At 42.4% G+C, this 17,105-nt stretch overlaps 1 protein-coding gene across 3 annotated transcripts in view, besides 2 other annotated features; it reads right to left on the bottom strand.

Moving 5' to 3' along the window:
• Positions 1-17,105, bottom strand: part of LDLRAD3 (low density lipoprotein receptor class A domain containing 3) — a 288,075-nt gene that overhangs the window by 133,183 nt on the left and 137,787 nt on the right. For all 3 annotated transcript variants that reach the window (NM_174902.4, NM_001304264.2, NM_001304263.2), the window contains one exon: positions 493-627. In NM_174902.4, coding sequence (NP_777562.1) covers positions 493-627 — 135 coding nt within the window. The remainder of the gene's footprint in view (positions 1-492; positions 628-17,105) is intronic.
• Positions 7,513-8,039: an enhancer, noted in NCBI's record as "H3K27ac-H3K4me1 hESC enhancer chr11:36112465-36112991 (GRCh37/hg19 assembly coordinates)". NCBI's record gives its function as "activates a minimal SCP1, AML or CMV promoter by ChIP-STARR-seq in naive H9 embryonic stem cells {active_cell/tissue: H9 hESC(naive)}" and the evidence as "EXISTENCE:reporter gene assay evidence [ECO:0000049][PMID:30033119]".
• Positions 8,040-8,567: an enhancer, noted in NCBI's record as "H3K27ac-H3K4me1 hESC enhancer chr11:36111937-36112464 (GRCh37/hg19 assembly coordinates)". NCBI's record gives its function as "activates a minimal SCP1, AML or CMV promoter by ChIP-STARR-seq in naive H9 embryonic stem cells {active_cell/tissue: H9 hESC(naive)}" and the evidence as "EXISTENCE:reporter gene assay evidence [ECO:0000049][PMID:30033119]".

The raw sequence follows: 17,105 nt of genomic DNA, 5'->3' as shown, positions 1-17,105 counted from the left end.
TAGCACAGTAAAACTGACAGGCACAGACAATGATGTCAGCAATGTAAACTTAAAAAAGAAAAAAAAACACAGCTGCATGCTGAGGTGTAACAGACACCTGTGCAGACATCCCACTCTGCAGACTTTATCCCAAAGAAGTAATTCAAGGGAAAGAAACAACCTGGATTGCCCCAATAAAGCGTTGTCTCAGAAAACCACAGGAGAGTAACATGACAGTATGTAACACAGTTGGGGCATATTACAGTTTTGAAGAGAAATGTATAGATGATATTTAATTCAGGAACAATACAAAATTCAAAATGGTAGGTGTGTTGTAGTTAAAGCCACGTAAACACGGGTACCTACCTGTACAAGGGCTGCAAGGCTGAGTGCAAAAACTAACAGAGCTATTGTGTTTGGAATGGGAATGGGTGTTGCTTTCTGCCTTTCAGGGTGTTCCATTACTGCAGTGTTGTGTTGCAATTATCTTTTTAGAGCTTGAGAGGTTCCTACCTTGAGAACTTTCACAGCTTTCCTCATCACTGTTGTCTTGACAGTTATTCTGTCCATCGCAGATGAAGCTCTTGTCAATACAGAGGCCGTTCTTGCAGTGGTAGCGGGCGGTGGAGCAAAGCAGAGGGTTTGCTGCTGCAGAGGGAAAACACAGCACATTACCAGGGAGGCCAGCAAGTTCCCTTGGGGACCCTGGAACTTCTTCCAGCCTGGCGTGTGTCCCGCTCAGGAAGCAGTAAGCTTATCTTCTAAGCTGGCAGACTCAAAGCCCATGCTGTAAGGCTGGCCAGCCAAACCTGGACACAAGACTTACTCTGCCTCATTCTAAAACCTCCTGGGGGTCTTTGGAGAGATCTGCCACTCTGGTTAAGTAAGTCTGCTTAATAACTGAATATTGATGCCTTTCAACACCAGCAACAGGAATCTCTCTGAGATGCATCAAATCTTGGGTTCATCAACATTTACCTTTTTTGGTGACAGCACAGGGTCATTCTTAGGAACATTAACTTTTAGACCAGGCTATAATACAGGGATGCCTTTGGCTCCTTTTTAGAACTTTCTAGTCTCTTTTTAAACTATCCTAGGCTGCTGTGCTTTTGGAATTCTTTTTAATTTTTTTTTCCATTTTTGTTTTTTTATTTATGCAAATATACGGGGTACAGGAGAAATTTTGCTACATATACATAATGCATGATGTGATCAAGTCAGGGTATTCAGGTGTCCATTACTCAAGTGCAGTACATTTTTGTTAAGTATATTCACCCTACTCTGGTTTCCTTTTATCTCACTCTATGTTTGTATCTTTTAACCCACTTCTCTTCATCTCTTTATCTTCCTCCCTTCCCCCTACTCACCCTTCCAAGTCTCTGGTCTCTGTTATCTATTTTGCCACTCTCCACCCCGACATGCTAAATGCCTCACCCGAAATGGTCAACCCGAAGGCTGGCCAGCAGCCACTGAGGGGTCTGGGCAAAACCTGAACCTCATGGACATATCCTGGAGGAGGCAAGAGTGAATGGCTGGTAGCATAAGGGACACATGGAGCAAAGCCAAGCCAGAAGGAGTAGCTGAGGCAGGGATTGACGCACCTCTCTGCCACTGTGGAGGTAATGACATGATCTGATCCCACAGCCGTGTAGGATACTTCCAGTTCCCTAACTATATATCAGCCTTTTAATTCCTCACTTATTCTTTATGACTCACTAAGGTAAACTTAGTAGCCTCGATTTCTTCTTTGCAAACAAAAAAGCCCATGAACCTAGTTGGTCAGTGAGCATTTTCTGAGCAGCTCCTCCATGAGGCTCCTATTCTAGGCACTTTCTGAGACCTCAAAAGAAATGACAGATCTGGGCCGTCCCCTTAAGAAGAAGTGTGACAACTGGCCAGTACAAGGTCAGCACAAAGCTACTTAACAACACAACAGCAAATCTCCACAGAAAACTAGTATTTCTACAGTACAATTTACCTGCAGTGTGATTCAAACAAGGTTCATTCCAGGGCTCTGTTTTCAATAACTAGTTCAGCCAAGTAGAAATTACTCCAATCCCAGCTCTGCCACTTATTAATCTTGGGCAAATTACTTCACCTCTCTGAGCCTCAGCTGCTTTATCTGTGGACAGGACCCTCTACATGATTTGTGAGGTCCAGTGCCTACTGAAAATGTGGGATCTGCTGTCAAAAATTATTTTAAAAACTCAAGATGGCAAGAGCAGAACATAAAACCAAGCATGGTCCCCTTCTAAGCTAAGCACTGGCCCTGTATGGCTACGCCAGCCACAGGCCAAAAAGCTGATACTGCTACTTACGGCATTAATCTGCACATCAAATGATATCCGTGGGAAAATGTACAGTGCCCAGTCTGACATGTAGCACAGGCTCAGGGAATGTTACACTCATTCCCCTCATTATGTGAATCTCGGTCCTACAGAGTGTGGCCCTCCCACAAGGAGCAACATCTGTAATGATGAAGAGGGGTCATCCCAGAGCTCGGGGAATGAACTGAGCTGGCACCCATATTCATGTGGTGGGTACAGCACCAGAACAGACGCCAGGCCCAGCACAGAAGATTGCTATGTTGCTACAGGATCAGGGCCACACCAGCTCTAGCGTCTCTCTGTGGTCCTCAACGGCAAGATGGCAGTTGTAATCTACTCCCTGTGCTTCGCTGAGGTGTTGTGAACACACAGAGATCACAGCTGCAAGGACTTGGTTAACTTCACAACGCTATCTAAAGCTGAGGAACTGAAGACTTTTTTATTTTAACTATTCAATTCCAAAAGTTTGATTTGAAAGGTCAGAGAGGTGGGGAAATGGAGGAAACCAGTGCTTTCAGTGTTGAGGATGATGGACCAATGATGTAAACTCAAACAAAAGTGGTCTGGCCTGAAAATGGAAGTTTTAATTATTGACATCGCTGTGGGCCAGAGAATGGCTCAACTGGATCAAGCTGAAACCGAGGTCTGACTTCAGCCAAAACCGAGATGGAGAAATCCAAAACCACAAATCACGTCTGGTTTTTGTCCAAGGCAGCTCTCCAAACCCTTGTGTCCATCAACATCCCACCGTGGTGGCCTTCAGCTTCTCTAGGACCTTGTGGGTCACATCTATGCAACCAAAACATCAGTAACCACCTGCTCACTCAGACAGCCTGGGAAAGGCATTCTAAGTGCTCCAAGACGGGGCGTTCATAAGCTTATGTAAACGTCCTGATGGGGAAAGCTGTGCAGAGTCATCCTTGCTGAAACTACTGTCATCTACTTACTTTTCCTTCAGTCTTAGACCCTTTCAACCTCTCAAACTTTCCAAGGAAAAACGCCACATACGTGTTTATGTGTGTGTATGTCTACAAGTAAGTGTATGTATGTTTAAAAAGCAAGTCACAGATTGGTTTTAATGCATATAACCCAAAAGACTAGTAGCAAGAATATATAAAGAACTCTCAAAAATCAAAAAGAAAAGATAACTCAATAGAAAAAAAGGGCCAAGGATGTAATCAGGCAATTGACATAAGAGGAACAGCAAATGGTCAGTAAAACCGTGAAATAATGTATACTGTCACTGGTGATGACGTGCCACACTCAAGGTCTTAAAGTACCAGGTCATTGGCAAGAATGTGGAGGGAGAGGAAGTCTCATAAGTTACAAGTGGGGGTGCAAATTGGTACGTCCACCTAGGAGGCCCATTTAGGAATAGTAAAGCCTATGGTGCACATGGCATGGCCCAGGAATTTCACTTCCAGCTATATACTCTTCTCTAGAGAGACTCTTTTTTCTTCCTTTTTAAGAAACAGGGTCTCAGTCACCGACTGCAGTGCAGTGGTGTAATCATACCTCACCATAGCCTTCAACTCCTGGGCTCAAGCAATCCTCCCACCTCAGCCTCCTGAGTAGCCAGGACTACAGGCATATACCACCACGCCTAGCTAATTATTTAATGTTTTGTAGAGACAGGGGTCTTGCTATGAAGCTCAGCGTGGTCTCAAATCCTGGCCTCAAGCAATCCTCCCACCTCAGCCTCCCAAAGTGTTGTAATTACAAGTGTGAGCCACTGCAAGACTCTTGAAGAAACAAAAATGTTTACTGAAGCCATTATTTGCAAAATTAAAAAATCAGAAATGACTAAAATGGGCCAGACATGGTGACTCACACCTGTAATCCCAGCACTTTGGGAGGCTGAGGTGGGTGGATCATTTGAGGTCAGGAGGTCAAGACCAGCCTGGCCAACATGGTGAAACCCTGCCTCTACTAAAAATACAAAAATTAGCTGGGTGGTAGTGGCGCATGCCTGTAATCCCAGCTACTTGGGAGGCTGAGGCAGGAGTATCACTTGAGCCTGAGAGGCAGAAGTTGAAATGAGCCGAGTCCGTGCCACTGCACTCCAGCCGGGGTGACAGAGCGAGACCCCGTCTCAAAAAAGAAAAGAAAAGAAAAGGCTCAAATGTTTACTTATAAAGAATGGATACCATGTGTTATACTGTTACAATGCCAGGGCTGGCTAACTGTTCCTATCAAGGGCCGGATAGTAAATATTGTAGGTTTTGGTAGCTGTTTGGTCTTTTGTCTCTGTTGTAATGACTCAACCTTGCCATTGTGTCACAAAGCAGCCACAGACAATTTGTAAATGAAAGGCATACTATGTATGCATACAATTTTATGTACAAAAACTGGTGCTAGGCAAAACAGGGCCATAGTGCATCAACTGATGCTGTGTTGTAGTGAAAAATCAATGAACTGGTGTCAAGATGGATAAATCCCACAAATACAATAGTGAGGGAGGAAAGCAAGCAGTGATGGTGCCAGGAAGCAGACAAATGCCTGGGCAGACAGGGGCGAGTCCCCGGTGAAACCCCACCTCCAAGCCAAAGACAGTTTAAAGCCTGAAAGCCAAGCTACAAGTCAAATCCACAGACTGGATTGAGAAACTGTCTTCTTATTTGGTGCACTCTCCTCTGATGGATCCCCACCATCACCTATTTTACATATACCTACCCTTTCCTAATTGGTTTTCTACATTGTCACGCCCACCTTTGAGTGGTGTCTTCAACTTTAACCTTTTTTGCACAGTCACAAACCAATCAGCATGGACTCCCCATTCTGAGTCCATAAAAAGCCCTGGACCCAGACACACTGGGAGAGAAAACCACCCCTGCATCCCCTCTCCACTGAGAGCTGTTCTATCACTCAATAAAATTCTTCTCTACCCCCATTCACCCTTCAAATTGTCAGCATATCTCATTCTTCTTGGACATGGGACAAGAGCTCAGGAACCACTGAACGTGGGTACAACCTATAACACAGGTGGGCTGAATGGGCAGGGTGCCTCCAGCAGCAGACCTGGGGTGCAGTAAGGCCTGGGCGGGGCAGGGAGCGTCACTGCCTGTGGAGGTACCTGACTGGCAAAGTGGCCCAGAAAAATCCTGTGTCAGTAGTAGGCTATGTACTGTACTATATTACGTTAATATGAAGTTACCCCATGCAAGAGAATGCTACTTATCATAGCAGGATTAAAAAGATATATACAGAAAGAAAAAAAAAACCTTAATGGGAATAAACAACCCCAAGTCCAGAGCAATGGATGCCTCTGGAGAAAAGAGAAGATCCCAAAGACGTATGGCTGAGATTTCTAATTATATTTGGTAATATTTTATTATTTTAAAATTCTGAAGCAAATACAGCAACACAATGATACATTTTTGAAACTGGATGTTGGGAATGCAGGTGTTCATTTTACTTTACTTTTCCTTTTCAGTATGTTTGAGAAACTTTGCTAAACATTTTTGAACGTCTAGTCTAGCAGAAATGTTTCAGTGAGCACTCACTTCCCTTCCCTTTTACTCTCCCATCATAAAGCTCTCCCTGGTCCACAAACACCTCTTAATATTTAGTATCTTTCACACTCAGGGGCATAGTTGCTCAGGAGACATAGCTATATCCTTGTATACAACCACACCTAGCATTCCACCTTGTCAATGACTCCTCATAAAACACAGTGTAATCTCCCCCATCCTTTGCAGGGCAGAAAAAACAGAAGCAGAGGATGGTAGAGGAACACAGCCCAAACGTAGCAGCAAGCCACAGAAAAATGCCTCCCAACCATCAAAATATACATCACAATGTTCATGCCTTGAAAGTGCCAGGAGCTTCCTCAAGGAAAAGGCCTCAGGCCATCAGCTCTCTCAGGGTCTATGGCTTCTCCATTTACGTAAATTCCAACAAGTTCTGTATTCCAGCTCCCAAGGACAAAGCAAATAAAAAGGGAGGGGGATGCCACTTACTGCCTTGCAGACAAACTGGCAGCAAGAAATAAAAGCTGACAGCCAGAGAAGGGGACAGAAACGCTCTAAAAAGCAACCTCAAGAATTCCAAAAGCTAAAAATTTGATCACACGGTGGTAGAGAGTGGAAAAATAGATAACAGAGACTGGGAAGGGTGAGCAGGGGGAAGGGAGGAAGATAAAGAGATGAAGAGAAGTGGGTTAAAGGATACAAACATAGAGTGAGATAAAAGGAAACCAGAGTAGGGTGAATACACTTAACAAAAATGTACTGCACTTGAGTAATGGACAGCTGAATACCCTGACTTGATCACATCATGCATTATGTGTATGTAACAAAATTTCTCCTGTACCCCATATATATGCATAAATTTAAAAAATAAAGATAAAAATATTTTAAAAAGAATTCCAAAAGCACAACAGCCTAGAATAGTTCAAAAAGAGACTAGAAGGTTCTAAAAAGGAGCCAAAGGCAACCCTGTATTATAGCCTGGTCTAAAAATTAATGTTCCTAAGAATGACCCTGTGCTACTACCAAAAAAGGTACATGCTGACAAAGCCAAGATTCGATACGTCTCAGATAGATTCCTGTTGCTGGTGTTGAAAGGCATAAATATTCAGTTATTAAGCAGACGTACTTAACCAGAGTGGCAGATCTCTCCAAAGACCCCAGACAGCTCAGATTTCACTACATTTCTTCCAGACCCTCTGCAGCTATTTACTTGGCTCAGCCAGATTTCAGAATGATTGCATTTGGGACTATGGTAGACAAGTCTTAGGGGTTTCTGTGGTCCCATGGGGCCTGGTCCAGGACCCTGGAAATAGTAAATGCTCAATGAACAGATCATAAACAGACCAGGAAACATTTCATCCTCTGGGATGTTATGTTTCACTATCTTTTAGCCATATTTAACGTGCTCCAAATGTTTGTTTTCTTTGTCCTCGTTGTGGCTTACCAGTCACTGAGAAATGTATTATGTTACTCAGTTAACTGGGGAGAGGAACATTCTATTTTACAATATTTATTTCACTAGGGGTGGAAAAAATTGTCTGCAGAGTTAACTTCAAAAACTGAACCATAGGCTCAAAAGCTCCTTGGTTATTATTACCCAAAAAAACACAGGGTTCTAAAGCTCTATTTCCCAAGCCACAACACTCAGGAAAAAGAACTTGTCTCTCTCTCTGGCAGAGGGAGGGAGGGAGGGAGGCAGGAGTGAAGGGAACCGCTTAGTGGTTAATTAAACTGGCAGGGTTTACTTCAACCACATCTAAAAGATAAGACCGAGGGACCACTGCGGTCTCCCAAAAGCAACTGACCTGCTTCAAGACAGGAAATGAAGCAATCCGTCTACAGTAGGACTTAGGAAATGTACTCTTTAATTCATTTAAAGTCTGTGAAGTCGGCTCCTCTCCTACCTCAAAGGGTCTTGACAAAAACACATAAATGAGAAACTCCTTGTCATTAGCCCCCACAATTCCCATCGGCTTCTCCATCCTGAGGTGGTCACCACTCACTTCCCAACCTCATAGCCTCCACACAGTCCTTGTCTTCCCAGCCCCAATTTCCCTGGAAACCAGGCAACTGAGGGAGAGGGGGCTGCACTGAGACTTCTCTTCTAGAGGATAGAGGGCGCCTGGCCCCAGGAAACCAGAGCCCACTGAAGGAGTCTCCCTGCAAATCATCCCGACAACAAGCCCTGCACCCTTTGTGACTTGGAAAATGCTCGCTGCCTTGACCTTGGCTTGCCTATTGACACCTGTCAGTTCCTCCTTCCTAAGTCTGCTCAACAGGTCCTCTGGGCCTCTCCCAGCCCCAAGGCTACCAGGTCCCCCAGCCTCAGCAGCCTTTCCCCCTCGAAGACAGAACGTAGCCTATGTACAGCCGCATTCTGCACATGGAACTTCTTCTGTGTCTGTAGGAGAGGAAAGGGCCGCCACTCTGGGCAAGCAGGCAAGAGGCAAAAATACTTCAGTCTTGCTTCCCTTTTCCTCAGGCTCTAAGGACTCGAGGATTTTAATTTTCAAAACCCCTCTAGAGTCAGTGCAAGGGGCCACTGGCAGAACTCAGTCATTGCTAATGGTAGTCTGTTTCTTCCTTGTCGGTAAAGGCTTCCTGGACATGGTTATCTCCTGTCCAACACCCAACCCTGCCTTTTCCGGGGAACAAGTCCAGTATCACTGCTTCAACCACCACCTTTCTGTGGATAGCTCCCTAAACCTTCCCCCAGAAATAAACATCTTTCTCCTACTGCCTCATGGGTTCCTCTGCCTGAACACCCTCTCACCTCAAACTCTGCATGTCTGAAACTGACATTCTCCCTTCTGCTCCTAGCCTCTCCCTCTTCCTGTGGTCCTACTGCTATGAAAGGGCCACCATTTCCCAGTTCCCCAGTCTCCCATCATGTGATCTTCTTCCTCTCCTCATCCTGCATCTGCTCATTATCAACTGCTTCTCACTGAGTATAAAATATAATCTTTTATATTCTCAACTTCTTATGATCTGCCCCAGCTGACAATTCCAAGCATACATTTTGCTGTAGTGGTTAGAAGTGAAAGTGTGAAGTCCACCTGGGCTCAAATTTCAGCCTACCACTTCACTAGCTATATGATGTTGGAAAAATTATTCAACTTCTCTAAGCCTCAATGTCCTCATCTATAAAGTGAGGACAAAAATAATGTCTCTGTCATAAGCTTTTATAAAAATTAAATGAGCAAAGCATGGAAAATAGCATGTGGGCCATAGCAGGTGCTCAATAAATGTTTATTATAATAATTATTAGCCAGGTATGATGGCTCAAGCCTGTAGTCCCAGCACTTCAGGTTGCTGAAGTGGGAGGATAGCTCGGGGCTAGGAGTTTGAGACCATTCAAGGCAGCATAGCAAGACCCCTTCTCTACAAAAAAAAAAAAAAAAAGTTTAAAAATTAGCCAGGCAAGGTGGCATGCACCTGTATTTCTAGCTACTTAAGAGGCTGAGATGGGAGTATCAATTGAACCCAGGTGTCTAAGGTACAATGAGCTATGATTGCACCACTGCACTTTAGCCTGGGCAACAGAGTAAGACCCTGTCTCTAAAACATATGTATTGGGCAAAAATTAGCTGGGCTTTGTGGCACACGCCTGTAATCCCAGCTACTTGGGAGTCTGAGACAGGAAAATTGCTTGAACCCGGGAGGCGGAGGTTGCAGTTAGCCGAGATCGTGCCACTGCACTCCAGCCTGGAGACAGAGCGAGACTCCATCTCAAAAAAAAAAAAAAATGTATTGGGAATACACATTCATATAATAGTTAAAAGTTCAGGCTCTGTATTTATACCGCCTAGGTTGATACCTCAACTATGCCACTTACTAAGTGTGTGAGTATGGGCAAGTTATTTATCCTTTCTATGTCTCTGTTCCCTTATCTATAAAAAGGAGGTAATAATACTATCTACCTAAAATGAGATCATCCACGTAAAGCATGTAGAAACAGGCCATACACAAGGTAAGTGCTCAGTAACTGTCAGCCAAGCAGTTCACTTGCCCTGAAAGTTTGTATACTATACAGGCAAGTCAATATGCCATTACGAGAAAGCATGAGAAGTACCATTTATTCAGTATATGTTTGTCGCTTGCTAAGGCTGAGCCTGATAATATACATGGCGCTGGAAATATAGCTGTGAGCCACACTATAATACCACCTCATGGCTGTCACAATGTAGTAGGGAAGACAGTAAGTGTGGGGAAGGATGAAGCAGGGGACAGAAACAGAGTGTGAGACTGGGGAGGAGAGGGGTCATTTTTCATAGAGTGGTCATGGAAGGCCTCTCTGATGAGTTGACATTTGTTTGAAGAAAGTCCTGTATGGTCTGAGAACACACAGGAGGATGACCCAGCCCAGCCTTGGCAAACCAGAAAGATTTCCAAAGGAAACCAGTCATGTGAGAGTCTTTAAGGAGACCTTGACGATGCAGCTTTGGAGTACTGGGAGGAAAAATTCTCCTGTTGACACTTTTAGCTCGGCTAGTCCACCCAATAAAAGACACAGCTTTCTGAGGCTACAACTGATGAATTGGCTGAGAGGTGAAGAGGAAATGGGGACTCTCATCTGGATTGACATGAATAGAGCTACAGAAATATGCCAGCAGTGTGGAGCTCTGTGCACAAAAACACAGACATACTAGCTAAATGATTCAGTGGTACTCAGAATTCAGGCAAGAATTTGTCATCAGTGGAGAGATACAGTCCAGGACACAGTGGTTTTTCTGGGCACAACTACACTAAAAGCTGTAGCAGAAGATCTTCAGCTTGAATCAATTTTCTATCGTGGTCCCCCAGAAACCCTGCCGTTTCAGTTCTTGGCTGGAGTCCTCATCCTTACTGAATGAGGACTGGGGTGAGAGCCGTGCTGCCAGCCAACCCAGGGTTTCACCTCCAGCCAAGAACGTATGAGGACAGCGGAAGAAAGAGGCCAAACAGCAAAAAGCAGAAAGGAAAAAAAGTCAAAGGGCAAAATCTCAGCATTGTGAAGCTCTAAAAGAAAATACTGGTTTTGGGGGGCTGGGTGGGGTGGCTCACACCTGTAATTCCAGTACTTTGGGAGGTCAAGGCAAGCAGTTGGCTTGAGCTCAGGAGTTCAAGACCAGTCTGGGCAACATGGCAAAACCCCATCTCTACCTTTTTTTTTTAAATTTGGCTGGGTGCAGTGGCTCATGCCTGTAATCCCAGCACTTTGGGAGGCCAAGCAGGGTGGATTTCTTGAGGCTAGGAGTTTGACACTAGCCTGGGTAACAGGGTTAAACTCCGACACTACTAAAAATACGACAAAAAATTTAGCCTGGTGTGGTAGTGTGCGCCTGAAGTCCCAGCTACTCTTGGGCAGCTGAGGTAGAAGAATCACCTGAGCCTGGGAAGTCAAGGCTGCAGTGAGCTGTGTTCGTACTACTGCACTCCAGCCTAGAAAATGAGAGTGAGACCCTATTTGGGAAAAAAAAAAATTATATATACTGGGTTTTTGCTTATCCTCACTCCTGAGTGCAAAATGAATGCTAAACCTGGAAAACACATGTCTGCAAACCAAAGTTCTTTAAAAATATAACTCTCTAGTTATTTTTGTTAAAGTCAAGACATCACCAAACAGAACCACTTCTTTAACTTTTATTTATTTCTTCTCACCATTTCATTATGGAAGATTTCAGACATATACAAAAATACAGCCTGGTTTATTGAACTCCATGGGTTTAACAATTATCAACTCACTGAACATTTTGTTTCAATCCCTGATGGAATTGGCTTGAAGTGCATCCCAGATAGCACATAATCTCTTTATATACTTCACTATATTTCTAAAAGATAAGGACTTTAAAAAATAGACACAATATCATTCTTACAATTAAAAATAAATAATAATGCCTTAATATCAAGTATCAAACCATGATTTAAATTTCTCTATCTCAATTTTTTTAATAGTTGATTTGTATGATCAGCATTCAAATATGGTCCACACATCACATTTAGTTAATTTGTCTTTTACTCTCTTAATCTGTAAGTTCCCTTTTCCTCTGTTTTTTTTTCTTAGAGTTTATTTATGAATGAAACTGGGTCTTAAAGAATTTCCCACATTCTGTATCTAAAAGTTTGCCTCCCTGTGGGGTCATTAACATATTCCCCTGTCCCTGAATTTCCAGTAAACTAATGGTTAGATTTAGAGGCTCAATCAGATTCAGGTGGGATGATTTTGGCAGAACAATCTCATAATGGTGATGCGTATTCCTTTGCACTGCATCAGACGACTGTCTTTTTGTGCTGCTGAAACTGGCTTATAGAAGTTCCTGCTCCAGGTCAGATGCAGTCATCACACCTCACTCTGGCTTTCCCACTGAATATCACTTAAAAAACCTGAAGAGAATGCATGCAGTAGCTGTGAAGGGTAATTTGGAGCAGGCCAAATGGAGAATAAGACCAAAATTTAAACTATCACCAAAATGGTGGCGAGTTTACCGTATTTTCTCCCTTTTGGAGCCCCAGGGAACTGGAAAGAACCAGAGACACTAAGAAGAGAAAGGAGCTCAGAAAAGCTAACCCATAAAACTGTTTACAAACTCCTAGGATGATCCCCTCAAGCTGCATGCACATGGACCTGGTCCTAATCAGCACATCAAAGACTGAACTCACAAACTACTGGTAGGGCCATAGGCAGGATACATCCAAATAGCATTGCAAAAACAGCGTGAAAACGATTGTAACCATAGCCCACAGAGGGCTGGTAGAAAACTGTGGCCTGACCTGCGCAGGTCATTTACCTACAAAAACACATATATAAGCACTCCCGCTAGGCTTCAAATAAGACCCAGAGTGTCACACATAATAATCAAAATATCCAGAATATAATCCAAAATTTCTTGTCATATTAAGAACCAAGAAAATCTCAATTCATTTGGGTTAAGACAATCAACAGACAAATGCCAAGATGACACAGATGTTGAAGTTATATGATGAAGATTTTATAGCAGCTATTACATAAATGCTCGAGTAAGCAATCACACACACTCTCAAAACAAATGGAAAAACAGAAAGTCTCAGCAAAGAAAGATATAAAGAAAACCAAAAAGAAATTTTAGAACAGAAAGATACAGTAACTGAAATTTAAACAACTAAACAAAACAAAACACTATATAGGCTTGAAAGCAGACTGGAGATGACAGATGAAAGAGTAAGTGAGCTTGATGACAGATTAACAGAAATTGTCCAATATGAACAATAAAAAGAAAAAGGAGTGATTAAAAATGAACAGAGCTCTGGTGTGGTGGCTCATGCTTATAATCCCAGCACTTTGGGAGGCTGAGGCGGGCGGATCACTTGAGCTCAGGAGTTTGAGACCAACCTGGGCAACATATCAAAACCCACCTCTACAAAAAATACAATAAAAAAAAAATTAGCCAGGCATGGTGGTGCATGCCTGTGGTCCCAGCTACTCAGGAGGCTGAGGAGGGAGGATCACTGGAGCTCAGGAAGTTGAGGCTGCAGTGAGCCATGATCGCACCACTGCACTCTAGCCTGGGTGATGGAGTGAAACCCTGACCTACCCCCCAAAATATAAAAAAATAAAAACTCACAGAGCCTCAGGGACTTGTGGGACTATAAAAACAGATCTAACATTGTTGTCATTAGACTCCCATAAAGAAAGGAGAAAACGTATAATACTTTTAAAATATCTGAAGAAATAATAGCTGAACATGTATAGCAAAAGACAAAAACCTACAGATTCAAATAGCTCAGAGAACCCTAACAGGATAAACTCAAAGAAATTATACCCAGACACGCTATGATCTAACTGATGAAAACTAAAGACAAAAAAAAAAAAACAGTTCAAAGCAGCTAAAGAAAAATGATATATAATCTACGGGGAAACAACTTGAACGACTGTAAATTTCTCTCCAGAAATCGTAAAAGCCAGATAGAAGTGGCATACTTAAAGTGCTTATAGAAAAGAACTGTCAGCTCAGAATTCTATATGCAGTAAAAATATCCTTTAGGAATGAAGGTGAAATAAAGACATTCTCAGATGAAGGCAAGCTAACATAATTTGTTGCCAACTTCAGAAGAATTGCTAAAGGAATTTCTTCACAGAGGAGGAAAATGATACTAGAAGAAGACTTGGCAATATCATGAATGAAGGAAAGAGTGATCAAATGGTGAATATCTGGGTAAATACAATACCTTTGGAACTCTTCAAAATATGTTTGAATATTTAAAGCAAAAATTAAAACACGGTCTTGTGGGGTGGCTAACGTACACAGATGTATTATATAAGACAACTATACTCTAAAGCGACCTAGAGAGTGGCAAGGTTTCTATTAATACATTCTACTTGAAGTGAATCCACACTGATTCAAAGCTGTGAGAAGACTGACTGGTAGATTCAGGAGTTTTCAGCCTGATCTCTCCATTATGAAGGCCCCATCAATTTTTTACCTAATGGTTTTAAGCAGTCATTGATGATCATTACCTAGACCCATTTTTCATTAGGAGTTACAAAATGAAGATACTCTAATTTCTTTATTCTTCTATTAGCTGGTATTCTTCAATAAAAAATAACCTTTTAAAGTCAGCTATTTGATTACTCTGAAGTATAATTCACATAGGAACGAGGGGATAAATAGTTTGACTCATACTTTTATTTACCACTTTCCAACATAGTGAGCTAGAATCACTATTTTTTCTAATTAAAAAAAATTGTATTTACTTATTTATTTTTATAGGGATGGGGTCTTGCTATGTTACCCAGGCTGACCTTGAACTCCTGGGGTTAAGTAATCCTCCCACCTCACACTCTGGAGTAGCTAGGGTTAAGACGGGTGCCCCACCTCGCCCGGCTTCAGAACCACTATTTTTAAATGGTAGCTATGTCAGAGGAAGATGCTGGCTTAATCCTCATTGGCATAGTTTGGAATGGGTATAATTTACTCATTTAGAAAATTAAAGACCAGACCAGGCATGGTGGCTCATGCCTATAATCCCAGCACTTTGGGAACCCAAGGCGGGAGGATTGTTTGAGCCCAGGAGTTCGAGACCAGCTTGGGCAACAGGGTAAAATGTCATCTCTACAAAAAAAAATTGCTTTTAAATTAGGAGGGTGTGGTGGCACACTCCTGTGATCCCAGCTACTCACAAGGCTGAGGTAGAAGGATTAGCTGAGCCCAGGAGGTTGAGGCTGGAGTGAGCTGTGATGGCACCACTGCACTCCAGCCTGGGTGACAGAGCAAGACCTTGTCTCAAAAAAAAAGAGAAAATTAAAGACAAATGTCCAAACATTTAAATCATACAAGGTCTTTAATTATGGCAGGGAATATATAGGATGACATAATCATTTAGAATGCTTATACTATAATGCGTCATACTTGCATTTTATTGCCATTGGATTATTCTGGGGTGTGTGTGTGTGTGTGTGTGTGTGTGTGTGTGTGTGTGTGTGTGTAATTTCTCCCTTAGATTATAAGATCCCCATGGACAGCAGGAAGCAGAGATCAAGCTGATACTCACTTACTAAAGGATTAACTAAAATACAAAAGAAGTATATTGTAAGTCCAAAATCAAAGGCAAAATCCTAGTAACTATGGTCTTCTCTTACAGTTTTGTTTTAAACCACTATTTTAAAAAATCAATTACTCTGTGCCAGCCATTATACTGACTACTTTTCGGTTATTATTTCATCTAATTCTCCAGCAATCTAGTATCTCCAACAATGGGATAAATATGAATAGTGTCTCATTCTAACTTACGGGATATGGGCAGTTTTGCTTTCTTCTTTATACTTGTTTATATTTTCCAAGTTCTTTACAATAATGAGAAGAAAAATATTTATTAAAATATGTGGTGGGGGTACAAAAAGGGATGAATAGGACAAGCACAGAAAATGTTTAGGGCAGTGAAACTATTCCGTATGATACTATAATGGTGGCTATGTGTCATGATATACTTATCAAGATCCATAGAATGTTCAACACCAGAGTGAACCCTAATGTAAATTATGGACTTGATGTGTTAACACAGGTTTGATCGTAACGATTGTATCACACTGGCCGAGGATATTGATAATGGGAGAAGCTGTGTATGTGTTGGGGCAGAGGATTTGGAAAATCTCTGTACCTTCCTCTCAGTTTTGCTGTGAACCTCAAACCCCTCTAAAACATAAAGTCTTTTATATATATATGCACAGAAAATAAACGTGTAAGTTTGTTCAGAGCCAATGATAATTATGAATGCTCAAGTAGTCTAAACATTTTGAGGAATGGGGAAAGAAGAAGAAACAGTGACCAGAGTGACCAGTGGCAGGTATGAAGCAACCTGATGGGCGAGCTGGGCCAGTATTAAAGGCGAAGAAGAGAGGCTTGAAGGTCACTGAGGCTGCTGTACGCAAAGTCATTGTGGACAGCAGGATGCTAAAAGGAAGGATCTGCATGTATCCAAGGCAAGGAGTAGTTAAACCCAACAGCAAGACTGCTAAGCTGCAAGGAAAGAGGGAGTGAACATGAGTATGTGTGTGCATGCACACTGATACCAGGGGAATATTATACAGCAGGTAAAACAAATCAGGGTGGTCACAGTCAAGAAGGACATTAACTTCATCTATGCTACTTGAACTGTTTTCTCAAGAATAAATTTTTATAGTATGCATACAACTAACATATAAACACTTTTTGTCTGAGACAGGGTCTCACTCTGTTGCCCAGGCTGGAGTGCAGTGGTGCCATCTCAGCTCACTGCAGCCTTGACCTCCCAGGCTCAAGCATCCTCCCACCTCATCCTCCCGAGTAGCTGGGACTAGAGGCATGTGCCACCATGCCTACTTAACTTTTGTACTTTTTGTAGAGATGGGGTTTTACCTTGTTGCCTAGGCTGGTCTTGAACTCCTGGACTCAAGCAATCCTCCCTTCTCAGCCTCCTAAAGTGCTGGGATTACAGGTGCAAGCCACCACACCTGGCCAACTTTTTTAATAAAAGAATTCAAAGTAAGAAAAAAGTAAGCAAACACATAAACATTAAGTGTTGTATCAGTCAGATGAGGGTCTGAATGAACCTAGAAATGGCTCTGCTTCTTATGAGCTATGTGACCCTGGATGAGTTAATGTACTTCTCTAACTTGAAATTTCTTATCTGTTAACTAAGGATAATACATCTGCATTTGCAGAGCTATTGTCAGAACTGAAAATACAGCAAGCCTCAGGCTCAGTGCACTTGGTAGAGCCCCTGATAAATGGTGGCTGAACATTTACAGATTTACACAAGAAGTAGGGAAGAACAGAATCTGGGTAACAGAAGAGAATGCCTGAGCCTCTAGGTATAAGAAGCACATGATGAGGGT

The sequence above is a fragment of the Homo sapiens genome, chromosome 11 (genome assembly GCF_000001405.40).
Source record: "Homo sapiens chromosome 11, GRCh38.p14 Primary Assembly".
Taxonomy (NCBI): domain Eukaryota; kingdom Metazoa; phylum Chordata; class Mammalia; order Primates; family Hominidae; genus Homo; species Homo sapiens.
The sequence above is the reverse complement of the archived record's forward strand: the minus strand, read 5'-3'. Positions and strand labels throughout refer to the sequence as shown.